General features: G+C 35.2%; 1 protein-coding gene across 5 annotated transcripts in view, besides 1 other annotated feature; it reads right to left on the bottom strand.

Annotated features, from left to right (window-relative positions):
- The window catches only part of ZNF81 (zinc finger protein 81), an 88,726-nt gene that overhangs the window by 10,905 nt on the left and 59,943 nt on the right, over positions 1 to 17,878 (bottom strand). The gene's annotated exons all lie outside the window — the stretch shown is intronic.
- Positions 13,735 to 13,784: an enhancer, noted in NCBI's record as "active region_29599". NCBI's record gives its function as "activates an Ori minimal core promoter by ATAC-STARR-seq in GM12878 lymphoblastoid cells {active_cell/tissue: GM12878}" and the evidence as "EXISTENCE:reporter gene assay evidence [ECO:0000049][PMID:35858748]".

Below are 17,878 nucleotides of genomic sequence, written 5' to 3'. Positions count from 1 at the left end.
ATATATGCAGTCAAACATTGCTTGACAACAGGGGTACAGTCTGAGAAAGCTGTCATTAGGCAATTTCGTTGTTGTGCAAACATCATAGAGTATACAGTACTTATAAAAACCCAGATGGTATAACCTACTACACATCTAGGCTATATGGTATAGAATATTGCACCTATGCTACAAACCCATATAGCATGTGACTGTACTGAATACGGTAGGCAACTATAATACAGTAGTAACTATTTGTGTATTTAAACATATCTAAACATAGAAAAGGTAATGCATTGCACTACAACGCAGCAATAGCCATGATGTATGTAGGTGATAGCCATTTTTCAATTTCATTACAATCTGAAGTCACTCAATATCATTATGTGGTACATGACTGTACATATGAATTCATTTAATCCTTTCAGAGGTCCTATGAGGTATCTATTATTACTATCCACCTTTTGTAGATAAGAAAAGTGAAGCTCATGACAGTTACATAATTTGCCATAAAACATGGTTATTAAGTGTTGGAGGCTGGCATTCAACATAAGCAGTCTAGTCCTATTTTGGTAGGAAGCTTGGCTATTAGGTAGGGTGGACAGAAGATTGATAATAAAAGAGTTTTCAGGGGAAAGATCTAGGAGGGCCTAGGCTTGGAGTTTAAGTCCTCATTAGCTTTCAATTCTTTTTTTTTCCACTAATAGATGATACTTATATTGAATCCTGGTATGTGTACAAGTCCAAAAATGCATACACATGTATCTTCTTGCCTAAATATTAAATATAACCATCAGCTTACTTCTGACATTGTGTTTAAGAGTGAGAACCCTGATTGACAAGGATGAGTGTTCACACTTTGAATCTTGCTCTCTGCAACAACTCTTCTCGATGGGTTTCAATTCTTTAATTCTGTGGGGCTTCTAATATAGGTAGGTCCTTTGCTATGTGCTTAAAGGTTTTCTTCATAGGGACTAAAGGTGCATGTCTTACTTTGTTGACACCACACTGTTCTCCTAACAAGCACTGCTTGTAAAAGATAACAAAAAATGTTTATTGAATTTAATAGAGGGGGTGATAACTACAAATTTAAGTGGTCCTATTACTGTCTTTCATGGAGCTGGCTCAATACATAGTGAAGAATGAATATGATCAAAATACAATAAATGAATGAATTTTACTTCACCTTGATGACAAAATTCTCCATATTTTTCTTTTCTTTATTCTTTTTGAAATAGAGTCTCACTCTGTTACCCAGGCTGCTGGAGTGCAGTGGTACAATCATAGCTCATGGCAGCCTTGTACTCTTGGGCTCAAATGATCCTCCTGCCTCAGCCTCCCAAGTGTTGGGGACCATACCCCACCAAGCCAGCTAATTTTTACATAATTTGTTTTTAGACAAGGGGTCTCACTATGTTGCCCAGGCTGGTCTCAAACCCCTAGCCTCAAGCCATCCTCCTGCCTCAGCTTCCTGAGTAGCTGGGATTGCAGAACTTTTTTTTTCTGTTATAACAAATGCTCTGCTATTTATACTCATTTTCAATTCTAAATCCTCACTAATCTTGCTTATCAGCAAACATCCAAAATTTATGTGATAAAAATAATTTATTCATGTCTATAAAAATATTGTAGTCATAGCCATCCTAACCTATACAAACAATAAATAGATGTCTATACTCCAACTCTACATCCAGATGTAATTGTTTTCTTGGACCTACATTATATATATATATATCTAACAAAAAAATAGCAGAAAAGACAAGTCATCTCTGGTAGAGACTGAAAGCTACCCACTAGAATCTGTTTCCCCATTCTTTTGCATTTAACAGAGTAGCATCCAGGCATATGGATGCCCAGTCATAGAGCATTTCTTAGCCTCCTTTGAAATTAGTGTGGCCATGTGACAATGTTCTCATCAAGAGAATTTGAGAGAAAATGATGGTGCCACTTTCAGATGGGAGCACTGAGACCACAGGCATGTTTTCTCCACACCCGCTTCTACCTTCTTGCTTACTAAAACCTGAACTTGGCAGAAACACAGAGTCAAGCACGCAGATCCCACAAAAATCCTAAGAGATGGTGGAGTAATGTGTGTTGGAAGGAGCTTGGATTCCTGAACAATCATGAGCAATGAGGTTTCCTATAAGAGGGAAATACAATTCCTTACTATTTTAGTCACTATATTTGACAATCTATTGCTACAAATTAGCATTAGTATAATTCATACATTATTCTTGCCCAGAGTGAGAATTACAGATGTTTCCATTCCTAGTACAGTGCATGAGACATACTAGATTACTGATAAATAATTTTAACATGAATAAATTATACCACTGACTTTTTCAATAAGAGATTTTTAGATACTGAGAATGCTCTGAGTCATCAAATCCACTTATCCCCTTTTAGTCGGTTTGATACTGTACTTCAGACACATGTCCCATCCAAAATCTCATCCTCCTATTCTTAGGTTGCATTTGTATTCTCACACATCTGGCTTTAATTTATTCTGGAGATACTAAGCACTGGATTCCTAGGCATGGCTTCAGAAGCAGTTCTACTTTTTACTTTATTTAAATTATAAATCCCTTGCTGTACCAGACAATTATTTTTTATGTCACTAGTACCAATGTTCATCATAAAAAATTTGCTCCTGCAATAAAAAGCTTCTTTATACCTCTCCTGAGCCCCCGATTCTATGAAGAGTACGTAAATGAAGAGTCATCACTCTAGAAAAAAGAGCTGCTCACGTGAGCTTACATTCTACTTGTCACACACAAAGATGCCTCAAAAGAGTCCAGTTTATTTTCAAATCAAAGGACATATTCATGTCCTCTTTCCCCATTAAGCCTGCTTAGCATTTTCTTTTATGCCATTAAAAAAGGTATGTGTGCTTCATCAAGCAGATTAAGAATTTTTACTTAGAAAACTAATCTAATTATATTGCTAGTAAGTTTTTTTCTTCTGAATGTCAAAAGCAGGCACTCTCTATGCTATTCATTTTGCTAATCCCTGTAATAGACTCCTAATTATAACAGAAACACAATGTGTAAGAGGGTAAACTTTTAAATATTTGGTGCCATTGTGTTTACTTTCCAATAACAATCTTCGTTGAATTCCTCTCAGTATAATTTTTTAAAATCCCTCTAAAACACAGCAAAATTCTATTCTTATCCCCCACAAATTCAATTAGTTAATATTGGTAAGTATTTTCTTCATGCTCAACATTTGAATGATGAAAATAAGATACGAGCTCTTACTTTCAGAGACTTTCAAAAATTACTGGGGGCAAAAGCATCTGGGACATGGGGAAACAGAAATAGGGAAGAATAATAAATAATGGAGTAATAAATCTGGAGTAGGTAAGGGCCATTTCATGGAATAGATGAAAGCCTGAACACAAAAGGAAAATGTCTATTACCTGGACGGCAGAGCACAAAATAATAAAAAGCCCAGATACACAGACACACTTCATATATGACAGGCATTAAAGACCAGGCAAACAATTTGAAGTAAGCATAAATTAAGGAAACCGTACAGATAAAATTTTAAACTGGGAATAATGGTAATCTTATAGATGGCACTGAGAGAAAAGTTATTGGTCATGTGTTATATAATATGGAGTAACTGTAAGACTACTTCATGAAGCTAATGGCAAAGATAAATGCAATGTCTTAGGTAATGAAATCTATCAGTAGCATTTCAAAGATTAACTAGAAACAAGAATGGAATCTGCAGCTTCCATTAGGAACAGAATAATCCAAGCATAAGAAAATACAGACCTGTTTTGGAGTGATGTTACTGGAACTAGATGAGAGACTAAGTAGCATTCTTTAAAAAAGAAAAAATAGGAATTGCAGTAGTAAGAAAAGACAGCTAAGAGGGAAGAAACAAGAAACAGCAGAATCTGACAAAATTTGGAATGTGAGGATTCCTGATTTGGGTAATGATGATCCCAATTCCTCCCATATTGAGGATGAATAAAGTAGAATATTCAATGGGAATTGTGTGGTATGCAGGTAAGTAAGTACTAGAGCACTATTATAATACAGCACCTAGTGGTGTCAACATGGAAGTCATCAGAATACAAATAAAAACCTTAAGTGTTCCACCAACAGTGTAAAAGTGTTCCTATTTCTCCACATCTTCTCCAGCACCTGTTGTTTCCTGACTTTTCAATGATTGCCATTCTAACTGGTGTGAGATGTTATCTCATTGTGGTTTTGATTTGCATTTCTCTGATGGCCAGTGATGATGAGCATTTTTTCATGTGTCTTTTGGCTGCATAAATGTCTTCTTTTGAGAAGTGTCTGTTCATATCCTTTGCCCACTTTTTGATGGGGTTGTTTGTTTTTTTCTTGTAAATTTGTTTGAGTTCATTGTAGATTCTTGATATTAGCCCTTTGTCAGATGAGCAGGTTGCGAAAATTTTCTCCCATTTTGTAGGTTGCCTGTTCACTCATGGTAGTTTCTTTTGCTGTGCAGAAGCTCTTTAGTTTAATTAGATCCCATTTGTCAATTTTGGCTTTTGTTGAAACTAGTTCAACCATTGTGGAAGTCAGTGTGGCGATTCCTCAGGGATCTAGAACTAGAAATACCATTTGACCCAGCCATCCCATTACTGGGTGTATACCCAAAGGACTATAAATCATGCTGCTATAAAGACACATGCACATGTATGTTCATTGCGGCACTATTCACAATAGCAAAGACTTGGAACCAACCCAAATGTCCAACAACGATAGACTGGATTAAGAAAATGTGGCACATATACACCATGGAATACTATGCAGCCATAAGAAAGGATGAGTTCATGTCCTTTGTAGGGACATGGATGAAATTGGAAATCATCATTCTCAGTAAACTATCGCAAGGACAAAAAACCAAACACCGCATGTTCTCACTCATAGATGGGAATTGAACAATGAGAACACATGGACACAGGAAGGGGAACATCACACTCTGGGGACTGTTGTGGGGTTGGGGGAGGGGGGAGGGATGGCATTAGGAGATATACCTAATGCTAAATGACAAGTTAATGGGTGCAGCACACCAGCATGGCACATGTATACATATGTAACTAACCTGCATATTGTGCACATGTACCCTAAAACTTAAAGTATAATAATTAAAAAAAAAGAAAAAGAAAAAAAAGCCTCAATAAACTAGGTATAGAAGGAACATACGTCAAAACAATAAAAGCCATGTATGACAACCTAAAAAACAAACAAACAAACAAACAAAAAACCTTAAGTGTTCCAAATGGAAGACCCCTTTAAGTTAATTACTATTAGAACAGATATCCTGAAGACAGAAATGGTACCCCTAGCTAGTGCATCTTAGTGGGAAAAAAGCCTCTATGAAAAGTACATGAGACAAAATAGGAACAAGCAATTAACAAAGGGGAAACCTAAATGGACAGCAGATACTAGAAAGGGGGGAAGATAACACAATACCACTTTACATCCATTATATTGGCCACAAGATAAGAAATCTGAACGATGCTGAGTGTTGGCATAAATGTGGTAAAATAGGCACACTTGTGGATTGCACATATGATCCAGTGATCAACCAATACCAATTCTATATAAACATACCTGAGGAATAATCTCACAGGCTAATTATTTTTTATTGAGGTATAATTTATATATAGTAAAGTGTAGATATTAACTGTAAAGCTCAATGAATGTATGCAAAGCTATATAGTATAGATCTTAGCTATAAAGCTGAACTCCAATACTCATATGTATACACCCATGTAACCACAACTCAGATGAAAGTAGAAAACATTTTAATTATCCCAGAAAGTTCTCTGGTGGCCCTTTCCTGTCAATAATTGACTCTCAGCGGTAACCACCATTCTGACCATAGATTGCCAATCACTTATCAATATTATCACAATCATAGATTAGTTTTGCTTGTCCTTGCTTGAACTTTATGTAAATTGAATCATATAGCATATACCCATTTGCATGTCTGGCTTCTTTTGTTCAACAAATTTTTTGAGGTTCGCCCAAGTTCTTGTAACAGCAGTTCATTCTTTTCATTGTTGTGTAGTATCACATTGCAAGAATATAGCATAATGCTCATCTATTCTCCCACTGATGGACATTTGAGTGGTTTCAAATTTTGAGCAATTACGCTAAAGCTGGTATGAGCATTCTTGTACATTTCTTTTAGTGAATATATTTGCTTGTTTCTCTTAAATATATGCCTAGGAGTGGCACTACTGGGCCACAGAATTGGTGTACATTTAGTGTTAGTAGGTAATGCCTATCTTCCAAAGTGGTTGAAAGAATTTACACTCCTACCATCAATGAATGTGAATTCCAGTTGCTCTAAATACTCATCAACATTTGATAATTGTCAGTCTTAAATTTTAGCCCTTTTTTTTGTATGTATGTATGTGTGTAGGGCTGCCACATTGTGGTTTTAATTTACATTTCTCTGATGAGTAATGATCTTTAGCACCTTCTCATATATATAATGCCCATTTGAATACCTCTTTTTTCAAGTGCCTGTGTCTTTTATCTATTTTTTTCTCTATTGATTTGTGAGAGTTCTTTATATATTCTGAATATAAAGTCATTTGTCAAATATATGTATTGCAAATATCTTCTCCCAGCTTGTGGCTTCCCTATTAACTTTCTTAATGATGTCTTTCAAAGAAGAGTAATTCTTTATTCTAATATAGTTCAATTTACTATCATATGAGATATGAAGTATTCTCTCTTTATTTCCTTCAAAAGAACATGAATAATATTGGTATTATTTCTTCTCTAAAAGACCAGAGTTCACCAATGAAGCCATGTGGGTTGAGAGCTTTGTTTGTGGATAGGTTTTAAATTATAAGTTCAATTTCTTTAATAGATAGAAATACTACTAAGATTTTGACCTTTTTTTCTTGTGACATTTCTGGTAATTTCTGTTTTTCTAAGACTGTTCATTTCATTTTGGTTATCAAATGTTGGGGGATAAAGTTGGTCATAATATTTTCTTAGTATCCTTTTAAGGCCTGTAAGATTTGTAATGATGTTTCTTTTCTCATTTATGGCATTGATAATCTGTGTTTTCTTTCTCCTCCTTGATTGAGCTTGCTAAATTTATCAATTGTGTTAATCTTTCAAAGAAGCAAATTTTGGCTTTGGTAGTTTTCACTTTTGTATGTCCTGAGGTGCAAACTTATATGGCCAATTTTTTTTTTCTACAAAAAATGCTTTATTTAAAAATATGATCTTTTTAAAAAGGAGACAACTTTTATACACACTTACTTTAGAAACAGTCAAAAACACAACAGAATCAATCCAGATTTAGAAATGATGATTTGTAACATACAATATTGGTATGCTGAACAAGACAGTTTAAATGTATGATTCTTTTTGTCCCTTCACATTTCAATAATTCACATTTGTTAAAACTAGTGGTTGGGACTAAAGAAAAGGTCATATCTGAATCCTTTCCCCTTCAGAAATCTGTCACCCTTCTGGGCAGTTACAGAAATGGCAGCAGCTAGGCAATGTTTGTATTTCTTTGGGTGCCTCTGTGTCAAAAAATATATCTCCGCTTTTATTCTTTTTCTATGAAATTTATATTTATGTGGCTATAGGGCCTGGTCGTATGTCCCACGCCTTTTAAAATCTAAATTTCTAAAAACAGACACTCCGTAAGGGCAAGGAGCATACACTGCTATGACCTCACTGGACTCAGAGCTTAATGCTCTTAGGTTATCAGCAAGAGACATGATTTTGATCTTCCAGTTAGCACTCCAAGCTGCTATCAACCAATCTTTTTCAGCACAGTAGTGAAATATTTCAAACCATATTCAAACATCTAATATAGATTTATAATAAAACAGGAAAAATGGCTTGCCAAATTAAAGTGCTATGAGCTATTGCATTCAAGAGGTTATCTTGATTTTATTTTATTTTTTGAGGTGGAGTCTCGCTCTGTCGCCTAGGCTGGAGTGCAGTGGCATGATCTCAGCTCACTGCAACCTCCACTCCTGGGTTCAAGCAATTCTCCCTGCCTCAGCCTTCTGAGTAGCTGGAATTACAGGCGCCAGCCACCATGCCTGGCTAATTTTTGTGTTTTTAGTAGAGACGGGGTTTCACTATGTTGGCCAGGCTGGTCTTGAACTCCTGACCTCAGGTGATTCACCTGCCTCAGCCTCCCAAAGTGCTGGGATTACAGGCATTAATTATTAAATGTATCTGATGATAACTTGATTTACAGATAATGTTGATGACATTGACCCTTTGTTTAAAAAAAGAAACTGTAAATTTGACATAATTTCATTTGCAACTTCATTTTGTTTTTTATAAATGTTATTTATACAGAAAGTGGCTACTGACTTTCTATTTGACAAGTAGTTATAATTGGCAAGCAGCTTGAGTTTATACTCATGACATACTGAAAGCATCTCTTTGGGGTCAAGAAAGAATCCCTAGTGGATTTGGGATTCTAGAGGAGGTGTTATAATTAATTATTCAGAAAAATGCATGTATTTACCTCTTCAACCAAAAGGGCAGTAAAGAATAGGGATAATATATTTTAATGTAAATTTGGAAGAAGGATAAAATCACCCACAGTTACTCTCCCTATTATTTTCACTGGGTCAAGTTTTAATCTTTTGGCTTCATGAGTTCCACTCCCTTTGATGATATATGTTGTATATTTTTAGTTGTAAAGCAGTAATCTTTAACTGTAGCATTCCTCTAATTATAAACAGTGAAAAATCAAAATCAGTCCAGAGTTCTTTTGTTGACTTAATTCCTGATCAGTATAGACAGGACTATATATATTTAATCAGAGAATTACATTATATCTGAAGATGGAACTCAGGAGAATGCACCAAGACTTTGAATTGTATTTACATTCACTGTCAGTAAAGATCTGGCTACGCTTTGAGAAATCAGGATCTCCTAGGTCATTGCTTCGCAGCTGTAATTACTGAAATTCTCCTCATAGGAGATAAAGTACGAGGGGTAGAGTCCAAGATGTCAACTTGTAATTTCTTTGAAGTCATATGTTTTATCTTTAAAATTATTCTTATTTTACCTGTGAATATATACAACAGGACTTTTTAAGATTAAAAAATTTTTAAACTTCTATGTCTGAAAAAAAAAAATGACACTCCTGGAAGATGGCTAGGGTTCCCCAGTTTGAGAAGCAGTGGCCATGGTGAAAAATAGTTTTTGAAAACATCAGATTATAAAATCAAGATAGGCCAATTTTTAATCTTTTTAATTTTCTGGTAGATATATATAAAATAAGAAACTTTCATCATAGTGCTTCAGTTTCATCTCACAAGTTCTTTTTTTTTTTTTTTTTTTTTTTTAGATGGAGTCTCACTCCATTGCCCAGCCTGGAGTGCAGTGGTGCCATCTTGGCTCACTGCAACCTCTGCCTCCTGGGTTCAAGTGATTCTCCTGTCTCAGCCTCTCGAGCAGCTGGGATTACAGGCACCCGCCACCACATCCAGCTAATTTTTGTATTTTTTTTTTTGGAGTTGATTTTTTTAAAATTTTATTATTATTATACTTTAAGTTTTAGGGTACATGTGCACAACATGCAGGTTTGTTACATAGGTATACATGTGCCATGTTGGTGTGCTACACCCATTAACTCGTCATTTAGCATTAGGTATATCGGCTAATGCTATCCCTCCCTCCTCCCCCCACCCCACAACAGTCCCTGGTGTGTGATGTTCCCCTTCCTGTGTCCATGTGTTCTCATTGTTCAACTCCCACCTATGAGTGAGAACATGTGGTGTTTGGTTTTTTGTCCTTGCGATAGTTTACTGAGAATGATGGTTTCCAGCTTCATCCATGTTCCTACAAAGGACATGAACTCATCATTTTTTATGGCTGCATAGTATTCCATGGTGTATATGTGCCACATTTTCTTAATCCAGTCTATCGTTGTTGGACATTTGGGTTGGTTCCAAGTCTTTGCTATTGTGAATAGTGCTGCAATAAACATATGTGTGCATGTGTCTTCATAGCAGCATGATTTATAATCCTTTGGGTATATACCCAGTAATGGGATGGCTGGGTCAAATGGTATTTCTAGTTCTAGATCCCTGAGGAATCACCGCACTGACTTCCACAATGGTTGAACTAGTTTACAGTCCCACCAACAGTGTAAAAATGTTCCTATTTCTCCATATCCTCTCCAGCACCTGTTGTTTCCTGACTTTTTAATGATTGCCATTCTAACTGGTGTGAGATGGTATCTCATTGTGGTTTTGATTTGCATTTCTCTGATGGCCAGTGATGATGAGCATTTTTTCATGTGTTTTTTGGCTGCATAAATGTCTTCTTTTGAGAAGTGTCTGTTCATATCCTTTGCCCACTTTTTGATGGGGTTGTTTGTTTTTTTCCTGTAAATTTGTTTGAGTTCATTGTAGATTCTGGATATTAGCCCTTTGTCAGATGAGTAGGTTGCAAAAATTTTCTCCCATTTTGTAGGTTGCCTGTTCACTCATGGTAGTTTCTTTTGCTGTGCAGAAGCTCTTTAGTTTAATTAGATCCCATTTGTCAATTTTGGCTTTTGTTGTTGCCATTGCTTTTGGTGTTTTAGACATGAAGTCCTTGCCCGTGCCTATGTCCTGAATGGTATTGCCTAAGTTTTCTTCTAGGGATTTTATGGTTTTAGGTCTAACATTTAAGTCTTTAATCCATCTTGAATTAATTTTTGTATAAGGTGTAAGGAAGGGATCCAGTTTCAGCTTTCAACATATGGCTAGCCAGTTTTCCCAGCACCATTTATTAAATAGGGAATCCTTTCCCCATTGCTTGTTTTTCTCAGGTTTGTCAAAGATCAGATAGTTGTAGATATGCGGCATTATTTCTGAGGGCTCTGTTCTGTTCCATTGGTCTATATCTCTGTTTTGGTACCAGTACCATGCTGTTTTGGTTACTGTAGCCTTGTAGTATAGTTTGAAGTCAGGTAGCATGATGCCTCCAGCTTTGTTCTTTTGGCTTAGGATTGACTTGGCGATGCGGGCTCTTTTTTGGTTCCATATGAACTTTAAAGTAGTTTTTTCCAATTCTGTGAAGAAAGTCATTGGTAGCTTGATGGGGATGGCATTGAATCTATAAATTACCTTGGGCAGTATGGCCATTTTCACGATATTGATTCTTCCCACCCATGAGCATGGAATCTTCTTCCATTTGTTTGTATCCTCTTTTATTTCATTGAGCAGTGGTTTGTAGTTCTCCTTGAAGAGGTCCTTCACATCCCTTGTAAGTTGGATTCCTAGGTATTTTATTCTCTTTGAAGCAATTGTGAATGGGAGTTCACTCATGATTTGGCTCTCTGTTTGTCTGTTATTGGTGTATAAGAATGCTTGTGATTTTTGTACATTGATTTTGTATCTTGAGACTTTGCTGAAGTTGCTTATCAGCTTAAGGAGATTTTGGGCTGAGACAATGGGGTTTTCTAGATATACAATCATGTCATCTGCAAACAGGGACAATTTGACTTCCTCTTTTCCTAATTGAATACCCTTTATTTCCTTCTCCTGCCTAATTGCCCTGGCCAGAACTTCCAACACTATGTTGGATAGGAGTGGTGAGAGAGGGCATCCCTGTCTTGTGCCAGTTTTCAAAGGGAATGCTTCCAGTTTTTGCCCATTCAGTATGATATTGGCTGTGGGTTTGTCATAGATAGCTCTTATTATTTTGAGATACGTCCCATCAATACGTAATTTATTGAGAGTTCTTAGCCTTAAGGGTTGTTGAATTTTGTCAAAGGACTTTTCTGCATCTATTGAGATAATCATGTGGTTTTTGTCTTTGGTTCTGTTTATATGCTGGATTAAATTTATTGATTTGCGTTAATTTTTATATTTTTAGTAGAGATGGGGTTCACCACGTTGGCCAGGCTGGTCTCAAACTCCTGGCCTTAGGTGATCCACCCGCCTCGGCCTCCCAAAGTGCTGATTACAGGTGTGAGCCACTGCGCCCGGCCCCACAAGTTCTGATGTGTCGATTTTCACTATCACTTCACTCAATACATTTTCATTGTGATATCTTTTTTGACTTATGGGATATTTGGATGTGTGTTGCTTACTTTTCAAACATTTAGATATTTTTTAATTGTTTTTCTATTCAGAGTTTTAATTTAACAGTGGTTAGAGAACATACAGTCTATGACTTCAATCCTTTGAAATTTGATGCAAACAGCTTTATATCCCAAAATAGTCTATTCTGGTGAATGTGCCATGTATACTTGAAAAGAATGTGTATTCTGTAGTTGTTGGATGTAGTAACCTATGTATGTCGATTACATCATATTGGTTTATCATGTTCTAGTCTTCTACCTCTTTAGGGATTCTTTTGTGTGCTTGTTACAACAGTTAGAGAAATAGGTGTGTTAAAATCTCCAACTATGATTGTGCATTTTGTCTACTTCTCCTTTTAATACTGCCAGTGTTTACTATATATTTTGAGGCTATGTTATTAAGTACATAGAAAATTAGGTTTATATATATATATTCCTGTTGAATTGAAATTTTATCAACTTCAGAGAAAGAGAGTACATTGGCGAAGATACAAGACATTAAAGTGACAATACAGAAGTATTAATGAAAAAAACTTATGTCGAAATATTGACATCTTAGATGGAATACACGAACTCCTTGAAGGAACAAATTATTAAAACAAGAAGAAATAAAAAATCTGAATATTCCTATATTAAAGAAACTGAATTTGAAATTAAAGACAGTCCCACAAAGAAAACTTCAGATGACCCAGATGAGTTCACTGGTGAATTTTATCACATATTTAAGAAAAAGAAATTTAAAGTAATCTTATACAAAATCACAAGAGACGTGAACACTGAAAAATTCTAGCAAATATAGCAAGTTTACACAAACTCTTTCAGAAAACAGAGCAGGCATGAAATTTCCAAACTAATTTTATGAAGCTAGAATTAACATGATACCAAAATCAAAGATATTATAAGGGAACCCCCCCCCGCCCACAAAACTAAAGACCAATCTCTCTCAAAGACATGGAGATTAAGATCCTTACCAAATATTAGCGAATCAAATCAAGAAATACATAAAAAGATAATACACCATGATGAAGTAAGGTTTATCTCAGGAATGTAAGTTTAGTTTGACATCTAAAAATCAGTAAAAATTCACCATATTAGTAGGATAAAATGCACTTTTCAATAAATACATAAAAAGCATTTGGCATTTAGAAAATTCAACATCAATTCATGTTTAAGACTCTCATCAAACTAGGAATAGAAAGAAATTGCCACAAATTAATAAAGAGCATCTAAGAAAAATCACAGCTAATACACCTAATGGTGAAAGACTGAAAGTTTTTGCCTTCAGATTGGGAACAAGATAAAATAAAAATAAACAGCATATAGACCAAAAAGGAAATGACAGAAAGGCATGATAATGTTTGCAGAAAGTTTTATGGTATTTATTCACAAAAAGACCCACTAGAATTAATAAGCAAAATGTAGCAAAGTCTCGGAATACAAGGTCAATGTACAAGAATCAATGGTAAGAGTTCTACTTCCAGTATGGAGAAGTAAGCTTCTGAAAAAGACCCTTCTACAGATAGTAAATGTAATCTCTAGAAAAACAAACAAAAATAAAAAAACAAACAAAAATAAAAAAACAAAAGCAGGCAGATTTTGTAGGGGGGTCAAAAGTTAGAGGAAGTGACTAGCACGTAGTGAGTTCCCCTTTTCTCGGGTTTCTGTTGAGAGTAGCTGCACTCCTAGCAGCAATGTGGAGCAGCTAAAATTCTCATAAAAGCTTGTAATCCTTTTGCGAGAGGAATCAGGGGAAGAAGGCCTGGGTACCCGGGGCCACTAGAGATTAAGGGGGCAACTCAAAAAGAAAGAATCAAAAAAAGCAAATTCCTAATTCTGTGTATAAAATCTGCCTAAGTCTCTGGCTGACCCCTCAACTTTGCATGGGTAGAGCAAAATTAAAGCAGGGCTGAAGTGCACCTGAGTTGCCACTCGCCTTAGGTGAGACAGCATTTCCAGTGTCAATCTAACCTAGTTAATTGCCTGCTGTGATAAGAACACTGACATTCTTCAGAACAATATAACAGAATACCATGTTACCATAAACATTGATAATGTTCAGGACGCAATCCAAATTACTCAAAATATGATGGAGCAGAAAAATGTTCTTTTGATCACTTTCCAGCATCTTCAGTAGCTAGTTTTAAAAATATGCTTTCCAGGGTTAACAATTTTTTATCTGTCTGGCAGGTTATTTCAATATAAACAATTCTATAATACTAGAACTTGAGTTAATTTTTGTATAGGATGTGAAGTATGGGTCAAAGTATGAATTTTTCCCCCAATACTGACATCCATTTGTTCCAGCACAATTTGAAAAGACTTTCATTTCTCCCTTCAAATTACATTGGCACCTTTGTCAAAAATCAGTTGTCTATATATTAATGGGTCTATTTTTAGTCTTTCCCTTCTGTTCCATTTATATATTAGTGTGTCTTTACACCAATAACATACTGTCCAGATTGCTATAGCTTTAAAGTAAATCTTAACATTTGGTAGTGTCAATCCTCCGTACTTTTTCTTCTTCCTCAAGACTGTGTTGGTCATTCTAGGTCTTTTGCATATCCATATAAATTTTTAAATCTCTTTGACAGTTTTAACCCCCCCAAATTACAAATAATTGAATGAACAAGTAGAAGACAAATTAGTAAGGCATTAGAAGATTTCAACAACATGGAACCAACCTGAGTTATAGATTATAGAACACTGTACCCATCAACAACTGAACATACATTCTTTGCAGGGACACACAAAACATTCCCCTAGGTAGACCATATGCTGAAATCATAAAGAGTATGCTCTCAGACCACAACAGGATTAAATTGGACAACATAGAGGAAATAGACAAAATTCCTTGAAAAGTACAACTTACTATGTCTGGCAAAAGATGAAACAAAAAATCTGAATAGCTCTACATCTATTTAAAATATTAAGTTTGTCATTAAATCCTTCCTGTCAAGAAAATTCTAGGTCCAAATGGCTTTCTTGGTTAATTCCATGAAACATTAAAAGAAATAATAATCTCACACAAAGTATTTCAGAAAATAGAGAAGGGAACACTTCATAACTCATTTTAGTAGCCAGTATAACCATAATATCAAAACATGACAAAGACATTGAAAAAAAAGAAAACCATGAACCAAATCACTCATGAAAAACGCAAACTTTTAAGTCAAATATCAGTAAGTAGAGTCCAACAATATATAATAAAGCTAATACGTCATAATCAACTAGTATTTATCTCAGAAATACAAGGTTAATTCAACATTTAAAAATCAATGAATTCACCATAATAACAGAACAAAAAATGCTGATATATATAATATCTCTCCAATAGATGCAGAAAAAGCATTTGACAAAATTCAACACTCAATCATGATTTAAAAAAAAAAACTATGAAACAAGCTAGGATTAGAAAGGAACTTACACAGCCTGTTAAAGGGCAGGTACAGAAAACCTACAGCTAATATCATAACTTAATGGTGAAAGACTGAAGTTTTTGCCCACAATATCAGAACCAAGACAAACATGCCCACACTCACCCCTTCCATTCAACACTGAACTGAAAGTCTTAGACAGTAAAATAATGAAAAGAAATTAAAACATGAGTTTGGAAAGGAAGATGTAAAAGTGTCCCTATTTTTAGGTGATAATGATTACTTATATGAAAAATCCTGAGGAACTTACAAGAAAACTAATAGGTAGATTTAGCAGTGCCTCAGGATACAAAGTTAATGCACAAAAATCAATCACTAGCAACTTATACTAGCAATAAACAATCTAAAAATAAAATTTAAAAAACTTTATATTAGCAATGAAAATCAAAAAATAAAACTAAAACAATGCCATGTAAAACAGAATCAAAAGCATCAAGTACTTAGGGATAAACTTAATGAAGGTTTCCTATGACCTCTATGCTGAAAACTATACAATTCTGCTAAATGAAATTAAAGAACTAAATAATTGCAGAAATATGCCATTTTCATGGGTTAGAAGGCTCAATATTGTTAAGATGTCAATTCTCCTAAAATTGATCTACAGAGTTAACTGAACTCCAAACAAAATCCCAGTAGGCTTTTTTGTAAAAAGTACAAACTGATTATAAAATGTATATGAAAATGCAAATGACCTAGAAGAGCAAAGTAATTTTTAAAAAGCAAAGTTGAAGGACTTATACTCCCTGATTGAAGATTTACTGTAAAAACTACAGTAATAAAGATAGTATGGGTTTGCTAAAAGGATAACGTATTAACTATATTTTCTTATTTTCTGTACCCTTGATGTTCTGGCATCTGGGGCTTAACTGATCCTGGAGAGACTGCCCACTCCCAGTGATAGCTAATTCTAGAGATTAGGAAATAACTTGACCTTGAGGATGCCTTTCATATGCAAAGCAGCCAATACACAGCCCATACCCACAACTGCCTCTTTTATTGAGCTCTCACAGGTTGAGCCACTATCCCCCTGCTCTAATCACCCCAGGGCCAGGTACCAAGCAACTGGGGAGAGTCCCTATACCCTAGAGCCCAGTGGAATTATCCAAACTAGCCAATCTTAAATCTGCCTAGCCTTCTGACCTTGCCTAGTCCATTCCTTCCCACAAAACCTAAATAAAGGCTCTGGCCTATGCTTTCCCCTCACTCCTTCTAGATCCCAACTGACCTTGGTGCTTCCACATGTGTGGTATGCATGGCCCTGTATGGTGTGGTATACCCCCGCCTCTTGGGAATTATAACAAACTGTCTTTCCAATGGCAGTTGTCTCCTGATCTGTTGGCTTCATCGAACCTAAATAATAATAAAACCTATCTTTTAAAGCAGACAGACAAATAGATTAATTGAACAGAAATGAGAGACCAGATACAGGCTCATACACATAAAGTCAATTGATTTTGATAAACATACCAAGGAAATTCAATAGGAAAAAGAAAGCCCCTTCAACAAATGTTTCTGGAACAATTAGATATCAGTATTGAAAAATGAATCACAGACCTAACTGAAAAAGTTAAAATGATAAAACTTATAGAAGAAAGTATGAGAAAATCTTTGTGCCTTGTGGTAGGCAAAGATTTCTTAAACAGATCGCAAAAGGTACTAACAATAAAACAGATGATAAATTGGACTTCATCAAATTAAAATGTTTGCTCTTTGATGGGCACCAAAAAGAAAATGAAATTTCAAGCCACAGATTGGAACAAAATATTAGCAATACATATATCTGGCAAAGGAGTTGTATCCAGTAAATATATTAAAACTCACTAATAAGAAGACAAACAACCTGATTAAAAAATGAGAAAGATATCTGAGTAGATATTTCACACCAAAAAATGTACAAATGGTCAATAAGCACATAAAAAGATGCTTAACATCATTATTCTCATAAGAGAAATGCAACTTTAAATTATAATATCCGCTACAATAGCAAAAATAAAAGAGTTTGATGATAACAAGTGTTGACGAGGATGTAGAGCAAGAGGAATCCTTATGTATTGCTGCTGGGAATGTAAAGTGGTACAGCCAATTTGGAATACAGTTTGGCAATTTCTTACAAAGGTAAGTATACACTTATTACATGACCTAGCAGTTCCAATCTTAGGTATTTACCCAAGAAAAATGTAAACGTATGTTCACACAAAGACATACGAGAATGTTCACTGCAGCTTCATTCATAATAACCAAATATTAACCACCTATCCATCAATAGGTGTAGAGATTAATGAATAGTAATATATTCATTCCATGAAATACTATTTGTCATTCAAAAGGAATAAACCAGAGATATACTTAATAACATGGATGAATTGCAAAATGATTATGCTGAACAAATGAAGCCAGACCCA

The sequence above is a fragment of the Homo sapiens genome, chromosome X (assembly GCF_000001405.40).
Source record: "Homo sapiens chromosome X, GRCh38.p14 Primary Assembly".
NCBI classification, from domain to species: Eukaryota; Metazoa; Chordata; class Mammalia; order Primates; family Hominidae; genus Homo; species Homo sapiens.
This window is presented reverse-complemented; position numbering and strand designations above follow the sequence as displayed.